The 11,940-nt window shown below is 38.8% G+C and overlaps 1 annotated feature.

Moving 5' to 3' along the window:
* Nucleotides 9,999-10,078: an enhancer, noted in NCBI's record as "active region_6195". NCBI's record gives its function as "activates an Ori minimal core promoter by ATAC-STARR-seq in GM12878 lymphoblastoid cells {active_cell/tissue: GM12878}" and the evidence as "EXISTENCE:reporter gene assay evidence [ECO:0000049][PMID:35858748]".

An 11,940-nucleotide genomic window follows, 5' to 3' on the forward strand; every position in this document is an offset into this window, starting at 1 on the left:
GCCTGGTGAAATGGACTCTGGAGTTAGACTGAGGCCCAACAGCCTGACAAACCTTAAGTAAGTGTGTGATCTTTCTGCCTGTTTCATCCAGGTGTCAGTAACTTAGTCCCATGTTCCAGCGATGACCTGTTACTTCTAAGTAACAGAAAAATAACCCCAACTTAAGTAAAAACAAAATAAAATGAAAAGGAATTTATTGGGGAATCAGAGAAACAGCTACAAAGTTCTAAGCCCTTCCTAGTGCCTAAGGGCTAGAACTGGCTCTCAGAATGTTTTTCCTTGTCTTTATTTCTCTTTGCCTGTTGGCTTTTCCTCTCCTACTACAGGCAGATTCTTCCATTCAGTCAGGAATAATGACCAACAGGATCCCTATGCTCATATCAGCTTAGCAGTCATTAAGGAAAGAAGGATTAGGACTGAGTTTCTTTCTTTCATTACCTTTGATTACTCTGGTTCCAGAGTCAAAAAAGCCTTTGTTATCATTAAATACAAGTGAAATACTATTGAATTTTACTACATGGCAGATGCTGTTCTGTGAGGTTTCCATGATTAAGTAATTTAATCCTCACAGGAATTATTATAGATAATCATATAAAGTAGGTATAATTCCATATTATACCCATTTTACAGATGAAGATATTGAATAAATAATAATGAAATAACTTTTCCAGTCACACAGCTAGTAAATGGCAGAGCCAGGATTCAGTATAAGGAAATCTATGCCAGGGACAAAGCATTTGTGAACCTGCCATGGTTTGGAGGTTTCCTAAGTTTCTACATAGGCCCCTCCCAGGAAATGGCAATTCATGTTCTAAAACAGTTTTTAAAAACTAAAACCTAATCCTCTTTGAAAAGATAGTAAATTTGAAATACATTTGTAGGTACATTTTTGACAGTGTGCAATTCAGGACTCAGAGTTGGAAAACAACCTCAGGTTTATTTGGATAGCTGGAAAAACTAAAGGACTAAACGTAATTTTGGCTGGAGAGTAAATGATCATGTAAACCAAAGACCTGTCCAAAAAATTTTATATTGGATTCATTCCATTTTTGTTATGATTAGCCAGGTTTGAGGTTTGCATTATTTCTTGTTCTTTATGTGGGCATTAGTTATCTACTTTATAAAGAATATTTTACTGTAATTTTTAAAAGAAATACAACAAATACTTTGTACTATTGGATGTAAATAAAACACTTACATGCAGTGAAATGACTTATAGTAATTTATAAATTAAAGTTTCTTACTGTGGGACAAATTGAATTGTGGAGCAACAGGATTCTGTATCTTTTGAAATCTGGTGTTGTGGAATAAGCTACATTTTCATAAATGAGAGTTTATTTTCCTGTCAACTCCCAATTAGTTTTTACTCTTGTCAACTGATGTTCAGCTTCTTAATTTTATTTGAGCTGCACAGAATATACAAGTTTCTTGTTCTGAAAGCTCTTGTTATCTGCAAAGAGGCTGGAAAGAGGCTGTGCAGGTTAACGACTATCTCTCTCACCTCTGGGGCTGTTTCTTCAAGTCCAAGATCAATTCCTTTTTTTCTGACTACTGCCCGTCGCATAAAGTAAAATAAAAGTCTTTTTGAAACTAGTCATCACTCATAAGACATGATAAACAAAGACAAAGAAGAAAACTAACCATTCTGAAGTGAATTTTTGGCTGAAGACGTTACTTATCTTAAACCTCCAGAGACTTTGTTATCCAATTTTATAAAGAGTTGGTGGTTGGAAGTGCCATACGGGTTCACATTCAGATGAGAACATATTTTGCAAGGAAAAATAGCCACATGTATAGGTTTGTGAAAATCAAAGTAAATATACTAAAGGACACGTTTTCAGGACTGAATCTAGAAGTTCTTGCAGTATAAAATTTTTTCCTATGTTTTTCCATTATCAATAAGTTTCAATAATCAATGATCAATTATCACTAAATATTGATCACTTGCGGTATGTTCTGAACTATTTTAAATATTGGCCATGCCCTAGGAAAATAGGGTAAATTGACATGTATTGAATAACACCTGTGAGCTGGAAATTGTTATTCATTCATACAGCACATTTACTTTTCAAGGCTGGGGATGAAGCAGTGAACTAGGTAGACAAGGTTCCTGGTTTCAAAGAGGTTACATTCTAGTAAAAGAGACAGATCATAATCAAGGAAACAGCATTTAGTCATGTGTCACTTAACAACGGCGATACATTTTGAGAAATACATTGTTAGGTGATTTCATCTGTTTGTGAACATCATAGTGTACTTACACAAACCTAGAGGGTGTATCCTACTACACAGCTATGCTATATGGTATAGCCTATGGCTCCTAGGCTATAAACCTTTACAGCATGTTACTGTACCAAATATTGTAGGCAACTGTAACACAATGGTAAGTATTTATGTATTTAAACATAGAAAATGTACAGTAAAAATACTGTATTATAATCTTAGGGGACCACTGTCATACATGAAGCCCATTGATGACCCCGACATCATTATGTGGCACCTGACTGTAATTTCAGATACTAGTAAATGCTATGAAGAAAATGTTAAAAGGGTGATATAATAGAGATAAGTCAAGAGGGGGACCCTGAGAAATAGGTGAAGGTATCTCTTAGAAGGAAATATTTGTGTCAAAACCTGAAGGAAACAGCTGCTTGACCAAAGTTCATCATGGCAGACAGGAGGCAGGACTAGATTGCAGCTCTGACTCAGACAGATGTAGCAGCATGCGGAGGCTCTTATCGTGGAATTTTAGCTCCGGAATGACTGCAAGAACAAATGACTGCAGGAATCCCAAGAGGACCCACAGACCCTCTGAAGGAAGCGGACTGTTCCTGCAGAACCTGGGAGACACCCCAAATACTGTGAGTGCCCAAACTGCAGAAGTGGGAAAGGGAGATCCTCCACTCCCAAACATACACCCCCAGGGGGAAACTGAAGGTCTAGTTTGCAGGAGAAGTTTCTGGCTTTACTTGGAGCTGAGTCAATTTAGAGAGCTAAGCAAAATACAGGGGTAGAGGAAGCAGCAGGAAAGGCCCTGGGAGCTCACTGGGTCCCCAAGCAGGCCATTCCTTCCTGGAACCACAGGGATCCTTCAGGAGGGCAGCCAGAGGTGCAGGGAAATGCCACAGGGAAGTCTCCAGCTGAACTTTGTAACAATTTGAACCAGGTGAGAAGCCTCCTGGCCAGAATTCGGGGGATGTTGGTAGAAGGGCTGAGGCAGGGCTTGCTTGTCTGACATAATGTAAAAGAGTCTTGGAACATGTCCTGGGTCCAGGGTCTAAAACCTTTCATGGCCTATGGAACACCAAGCTCTGTGCCAAAGGGTGGAAGGCTGCCCTGCTGCACCACAACCTAAGCCCAGGGCATAATACCTCTTGTGGCTTGGAGAGAATCCAGGGCTCCAGGCATAAAACCCCTCATGGCCTCTGGAATGTGTCCAGACTCACTGGCTCCTTGCTCCTTGCTCTCCCAGGATCAATTGTATTTTGAGTTAAAAGAACCTGCTCTCCATTATCTCAAGTAGCAGAGCATAGGCTAAGCCATCACAGCTACACTTGATGTATCACTACCTTTCTACCCCCACATCCTCATGTCCTCACCTGCCTACCCCTACATCTGCACATCCTCACCACCTGCTTCTTTGTTTGATTACCAATAAATAGTGTGGGCTCCCAGAACTCAGGGGCTTTGCAGCCTCCATGCTAGCATTAGCCCCCTGGACCCACCCTATGTACTTATAACTTGTCTTGTCTCATTTCTTTGACTCTGCCGGACTTCGTAGCCCCCACAGCCTGGTGTTGGGTCTGATCACCACAACAGGGGAAAGCATGAATCTGGCATACAGACTCCACAGGCAGGGGGAAGAACCAAAGCCCTTTCTTTCACAGCTAGGTGGTGGGTAGCCTGGGGCAAGTTCTCAAGCCCTGCTTGCTCACTGCCTGGAAACAGACTCAGTGCTCTTAGGTGGAGGCACAGTGGGAGTGAGAGCAGCCCTTCGGATTGCATGGGAGCTGTGTGAGGCCTGTGACTGCCAGCTTCCCCCCACTTCCCTGACAATCTGCATGATTCAGCAGAGGCAGCCATAATCCTCCTAGGTACACAACTGCTTTGACCTGGGAACCTCACCCCCATCCCCTACAGCAGCCACAGCAAGACCCACCCATGGAGAGTCTGAGCTCAGATATGCCTAGTCCTGCCCCGACCTGATGGGCCTTCCCTTCAGGTCCCTGGTACCTGAAGACAAAAAGCATATACTCTTGGGAGTTCTAGGGCCCTGCCCACCACTGGTTCCTCTCCATACTACCACAGCTAATGCTTTCTGGAAAGTGCCACCTCCTGGCAGGAGGCCAACCAACACAAAAATAAATCATTAATCCACCAAAGCTAAGAACTCCTCATAGAGTCCATTTCACCCCCCTGCCACCTCCACCGGAACAGGTGCTGGTATTAATGGCTGAGAGACCCATAGATGGTTCACGTCACAGGACTCTGTGCAGACAACCCCTTGGTACTAGCCCGGAGCCTGGTAGACTTGCTGGGTGGCTAGATCCAGAAGAGAGATAACAATCACTGTAGCTTGGCTGTCAGGAAGCCACATCCATTGGAAAAGGGGGAGAGCACTACATCAAGGAAAAACTCTGTGGGTCAAAAGAATCTGAACAGCTTCAGCTCTAAAACTTCCCTCTGACAGAGCATACCCAAATGAGAAGGAACCAGAAAACCAGCTCTGGTAATATGACAAAACAAGGTTCTTTAACATCCCCCCAAAATCACACTAGCTCACCAGCAATGGATCAAACCAAGAAGAAATCCCTGAAATACCTGAAAAAGAATTCAGGAGGTTAGTTATGAAGCTAACCAAGGAGGCACCAGAGAAAGGTGAAGCCCAATGCAAGGAAATCCAATACCAATACAAGAATTGAAAGGAGACATATTCAAGGAAATAGCATAAAGAAAAAAAAATCAAAACTTCAGGAAACAGACACACTTATAGAAATGCAAAATGCTCTCTGAAAAGTCTCAGCAATAGAAATGAAGAAGTAGAAGAAAGAAATTCAGAGCTCAAACACAAGGTCTTCAAATTAACCCATCCAAAAAAGACAGAGAAAAAAGAATAAGAAAATATGAACAAAGCCTCCAAGAAGTCTGGGATTATGCTAAATGACCAAACCTAAAAATAATCAGTATTCCTGAAGAGGAAGAGAAATCTAAAAGTTTGGAAAACATATTTGGGGGAATAATTGAGGAAAACTTCCCCAGCCTTACTAGAGACCTAGACATGCAAATACAAGAAGCACAAAGAACACCTGGGAAATTCATTGCAAAAAGTTCTTCACTGAGGCACATTGTCATCAGGTTACCCAAAGTTAAGATGAGGGAAAGAATCTTAAGAGCTGTGAGACAGAAGCACCGGGTAACCTATAAAGGAAAACCTATAAAATTAACAGCAGATTTTTCAGCAGAAACACTACAAGCTAGAAGGGATTGGGGCCCTATCTTCAGCCTTGTCAAACAAAACAATTATCAGCCAGGAATTTTGCATCCAGCAAAACTAAGTATCACATGAAGGAAAGTTACAGTCTTTTTCAGACAAACAAATGCTGAGAGAATTCACCACTACCAAGCCACCACTACAAGAACTGCTACAAGGAGCTCTAAATCTTGAAACAAATCCTGGAAACACATCAAAAGAGAACTCTTTAAAGCATAAATCACACAGGACATATAAAACAAAAATACAAGTTAAAAAGCAAAAACACAAAAGGAAACACCCAAGATACACAGGCAACAAATAGCACAATGAATAACAAAGATCAGAGCAGAACTAGAAGAAATTGAAACATAAAAAAAAATAAAAAGATAAATGAAACAAAAAGCTGGTTCCTTGAAAAGGTAAATAGAATTGATAGATCATTAGCAAGATTAACCAAGAAAAGAAGAGAGAAAATCCAAATAACCTCATTAGGAAAGGAAACAACTATTACAACTGACAACACGGGAATAAAAAAGATCATTCAAGGCTGCTATGAACACTTTTATGCACATAAACTAGAAAAACTAGGAGATGGATAAATTCCTGGAAAAACAATCCTTCCAGCTTAAGTCAGGAAGAATTAGATACCCTGAACAGACCAATAACAAGGAGTGAGATTGAAATGGTAATTTAAAAATTAGCAACAAAAAAAAGTCCAGGACCAGATGGATTCACAGCAGAATTCTACCATTGAAAGAAGAAGTGGCAAAAATCCTTTTGACACTATTCCACAAGATAAAGAGGGAACCTTCCCTAATTCATTCTATGAAGCCAGCATCACCCTAATACCAAAACCAGCAAATGACGTAACCAAAAAAGAAAACTATGGACCAATATCCCTGATGAAGATAGATGCTAAAATCCTTAAGAAAATACTAGCTAACCAAATCCAGCAGCATATCAAAAAGAGAATCCACCATGATCAAGTGGATTTCATACCAGCGATGCAGGGATGGCTTAACATACTCAAGTCAATAAATGTAATACACCACGTAAACAGAATTTAAAACAAAAGTCATATGATCATCTCAATAGATGCAGAAAAAGCATTTGACAAACTGCAGCATCACTTTATGATTAAAACTCTCAGCAAAATTGGCATACGAGGGACATGCCTCAATGTAATTAAAGCCATCTATGACAAACCAACAGCCAACATAATACTGAATGGGGAAAAGTTGAAAACATTCTCTCTGAGAAATGAAACAAGACAAGGATGCCTACTTCCAGATCACTCCTCATCAGCATAGTACTAGAAATCCTAAACACAGCAATCAGACAAGAGAAAGAAATAAAGGGCATCAAAATCAATAAAGAGGAAGTCAAATTGTCACTGTTTGCTGATGATATGATCATTTACCTCGAAAACCCTAAAGACTCCTCCAGAAAGCTCCTAGAACTGATGAAAGAATTCAGCAAAGTTTCTGGATACAAGATTATTGTACACAAATCAGTAGCTCTTCTATATACCATCAGTGACCAAGTAGGAATCAAATCAAGAACTCAACTCCTTTTAAAATAGCTGCAAAAATAAAAATAAAAATACTTAGAAATATACCTAACAAAGGAGGTGAAAGTCCTCTACAAGGGAAGCTACAAAACACTGCTGAAAGAAATCATAGATGACACAAACAAATGAAAACACACCCCATACTCATGGATGGGTAGAATCAATATTGTGAAAATGACCATACTGCCAAAAGCAATCTACAAATTCAATGCTATCCCCATCAAAATACCACCATCATTCTTCACAGAGTTAGAAAAAACAATTCTAAAATTCACATGAAACCAAAAGGAGCCCAAATAGCCAAAGCAAGACTAAGCAAAAAGAACAAATCTGAATGCATCACACTACCTGATTTTAAACTATACTACAAGGCCATAGTCACCAAAACAGCATGGTACTGGTACAAAAATAGGCACATAGACCAATGGAATAGAATAGTGAACCAAGAAATAAACCCAAATACTTACAGCCTGCTGATCTTCAACAAACCAAACCAAAACAGTAAGTGGGGAAAGGACACCCTTTTCAACAAATGGTGCTGGGATAATTGGCTAGCTACAAGTAGGAGAATGAAACTGGATCCTCAGCTCTCACCTTGTACAAAAAGCAACTCAAGATGGATTAAGGGCTTAAATCTAAGACCTGAAACTATAAAAATTCTAGAAGATAACATTGGAAAAACCCTTTTAGACATTGGCTTAGGCAAGGATTTCATGAGCAAGAACCCAAAAGCAAATGCAATAAAAACAAAGATAAATAGCTGGGACTTAATTAAGCTAAAGAGCCTTTTGCACAGCAAAAGGAACAATCAGCAGAGTAAACAGGCAATCCACAAAGTGGGAGAAAATCTTCACAATTTATACATCTGACAAAGGACTAATATCCAGGATCTACAATGAACTCAAACAAATCAGTAAGAAAAAAACAAACAATCCCATCAAAAAGTGGGCTAAGGACCTGAATAGACAATTCTCAAAGAAGATATACAAATGGCCAAAAAACATGAAAAACTCCTCTGCATCACGAATTATCAGGGGAATGCAAATCAAAACCACAATGCAGTACCTCCTTCCTCCTGCAAGAATGGACATAATCGAAAAATCAAAAAAACAGTAGCTGTTGGTGTGGATGGGGTGATCAGGGAACACTTCTACACTGCTGGTGGGAATGTAAACTAGTACAGCCACTATGGAAAACAGTGGGGAGATTCCTTAAAGAACTAAAATTAGAACTACCATTTGATCCAGCAATCCCACTACTGGGTATCTACCCAGAGAAAAAGAAGAATGAATTAACAGCATTTGCAGCAAACTGGGTGAGACTGGAGACTATTATTCTAAGTGAAGTGACTCAGGAATGGAAAACCAAACATTGTATGTTCTCACTGATATGTGGGAGCTAAGCTATGAGGATGCAAAGGCATAAGAATGATACAATGGACTTTGGGGACTTGGGGGGAAGAGTGGTAGAGGGGCAAGGGATAAAAGGCTACAAATAGGGTGCAATGTATACTGTTTGGATGATGGGTGCACTAAAATCTCACAAATCACCACTAAAGAACATGCTCATGTAACCAAATATCACCTGTATCCCAATAACCTATGGAAAAAATATAAAAAGAAGGAAACAGCTAAGCAATGTGTTGAGAAAAGAGTATTTCAATGAGAGAGAACTTAAATGCAAAGACCATGAGATCTGTACAGATGTTATCTCCTTTATCCTCACTATGTTTCTGTAAGGGAGGTAGTGTTAGGCAAATTTTATAGATAGCAAAATGGAACCACAGAACTAACACACATAAGATCACTTTGTCAGCTAGCAAACAGGATGCCATGATATGAGCTCAGGAGTCTTTGACCACCACCAGCCTTCTCTTTCTGCACCCCCATGCTGCTTCGTGGGATCTAAAGCGCAACTTAAATGCATGTCCCTGCAAGGAATTCCAGAGGAAGAGAGGTTCCTATCCCAAATATAGGTAAATCTCCTAGATGGTTCTGGTTCTTTGTTTTCTTTCCACTAATCAATATGCAAGAAAGACTTATTTGGATCTATTTGTTTATTAATTCATTCAATAGATTTTTTGAGTGTCATTGCATAAACGTACTATTTGCATTTAAAATTCAGAATGCAGCCATGGTAAATAGTATGAACTATTTTCTTTCAAGGAATTGAGAGTGGTTTTGTTTTTAGTATATTGTCTGGAAATCCTAGCCGTATAATCCACTTTACCAAAAGTTACATGGAAGGATATAAAACTATTATAGATTAAAAGTCTTCCTGTCAGTTGGCTGAAAATTATCTGTAACATTTAATATGTGACTCTGTTTGGAAAAAAATATAGCCAACCACCTTTTTAATCCTCTTTTCGATGTTTTGGGAAACATAAAGTTGGGATCTTTTCATTCATTTGCAAAATAAAACAGTATTTTTTAAGGCATTGATTTATATTTCATTTAAGGCATTGAATTGTTTTATTATTGAGCCTGTCTCTGAACTCTGAGAAATTCCAAGGGAAAGAATTAAAGATCTTCAATTCAGTCTTGCCTAAATCTACTATTTTCAACCAACTTTTTTTCTGCTGTGCTTTCTTGCGTATTTTCTTAATGGATAGATAGGACAATGGTACAGCAGAAATAATGAATGTTTATCTACCACTTCCATTAAATATGTCAATGCTTTTATGAAAGGAAATCTATGGTTACTTAAGCCAATGCCTGCACTTAGTACTCAGCCATAACCGTTCTCATACCTGGAATCTAAAGAGGTAGCATCAGTAATCTGTACACACTAAGTACTTAATATTGCTCAGTGGAAAGAGAAATGCTGTTATATATTACTCTACATTTTTCATAGTCTTTATAATGTTTTATATCCAAATGTATCATTATGTAGTTTCACTGATCAGTAAGAGAGCTAGATCGTGTAAGCTTTATAAGAACGTTGGCTTTTACTCAAAGGGGATGAGAAACTATCAGGGGATTTTGAGTAGGGATGACATCATCTGGCCTTTGTTTTTTAACAGAACAAATCTGGCTGCTGTTATGAGTGTAGACCAAAGGCTGGATGGATAGAAATGAGGAAATGAGATAGGAGGCAGAGCAGTAATTTTGGTGGCAGGTCATAGTGCCTTTGTATAGGGTAACAGAATATGCTAGAGCCTAGAATACAGGCATCAAGCTGTTATGAGCTTGGCATTTTTACCACTGTATCCCCAGGGTGTGGAATCATTTCTGGAGTATAGCAGGAGCTCAGTAATTCTTGCTGCATGCATGAATGGATGGATAGACTGACAGTTTTTCACACTTATGTCTTCTCCCCATCTGTTTATTACTTAAGTTTTAACATCTAAGCTACTTGCCTCATCCTCACAGTTTTTAAACTAAAGCAAAAGTGAAACAAAAGCAAAACAGCCAAGTTTCTTCTAAATTTAATTGAATTCAACAAGTCTTTTTTTAAAGCACTTTTATGTGGTTTCTTTGGGCTATTAAGGATATCAAATGCCAACAGAATGTTCTAAGACTGTTAGATGAGATTGTTGCTTAGGGTCACAGCTATGCCACAGCACCACAATTTACTTTAAAATTAAGATTGCTACATAGTTTTAATTTCCTCCTCAGAAGGGCAATAACCTTTCAATGAATCAGACTCGGCTTTTTCTGCTTACTATAAATGGGACCATGTGACCATTACATTACAAAGTGCATAAATGGCAGGCTATATTAGAAAAGTTTGGGGACAAGGAGCACAAGAATGTATTGGGCACATAACCTTTTTGTGTGATAAAGAAGATAAATAAGAAGACATGCAAACAGATGTGTTGATACATATAAAGAAACACTGAATAGATATAGAAGCAACTAAAAAGGCTGATTGCAAGGCTCAGGAGATAAATTGGATGGACAGGGCAAACTTTTTGTTTTCAATTTTTTTTTTATACTTTAAGTTCTAGGGTACATGTGCACAATGTGCAGGTTTGTTACATATGTATAGATGTGCCATGTTGGTGTGCTGCACCCATTAACTCCTCATTTACATTAGGTATATCTCCTAATGCTTTCCCTCCCCACTCCCCAAACCCCATGACAGGCCCCAGTGTGTGATGTTCCCTTTCCTGTGTCTAAGTGTTCTCATTGTTCATTTCCCACCTATGAGTGAGAACATGCGGTGTTTGGTTTTTTTTCTTGGGATAGTTTGCTGAGAATGATGGTTTCCAGCTTAATCCATGTCCCTACAAAGGACATGAACTCATCCTTTTTTACGGCTGTATAGTATTCCATGGTGTATATGTGTCACATTTTCTTTTTTTTTTTTTTTGTATTTCCACTGTTTTATTTTAAAAAATGAGTAATTTATTATAAGTATATTTAGGTATCACTGTTTTGTCTAATCTTTTATTTTATTTTATTATTATTATACTTTAAGTTTTAGGGTACATGTGCACAATGTGCAGGTTAGTTACATATGTATACCTGCGCCATGCTGGTGTGCTGCACCCATTAACTCATCATTTAGCATTAGGTATATCTCCTAAAGCTATCCCTCCCCCCTCCCCCCACCCCACAACAGTCCCCAGAGTGTGATGTTCCCCTTCCTGTGTCCATGTGTTCTCATTCTTCAATTCCCACCTATGAGTGAGAATATGCAGTGTTTGGTTTTTTGTTCTTATGATAGTTTACTGAGAATGATGATTTCCAATTTCATCCATGTCCCTACAAAGGACATGAACTCATCTTTTTTTATGGCTGCATAGTATTCCATGGTGTATATGTGCCACATTTTCTTAATCCAGTCTATCATTGTTGGACATTTGGGTTGGTTCCAAGTCTTTGCTATTGTGAATAGTGCCTCAATAAACATATGTGTGCATGTGCCTTTATAGCAGCATGATTTATAATCC

Source organism: Homo sapiens, chromosome 12 (genome assembly GCF_000001405.40).
Source record: "Homo sapiens chromosome 12, GRCh38.p14 Primary Assembly".
NCBI classification, from domain to species: domain Eukaryota; kingdom Metazoa; phylum Chordata; class Mammalia; order Primates; family Hominidae; genus Homo; species Homo sapiens.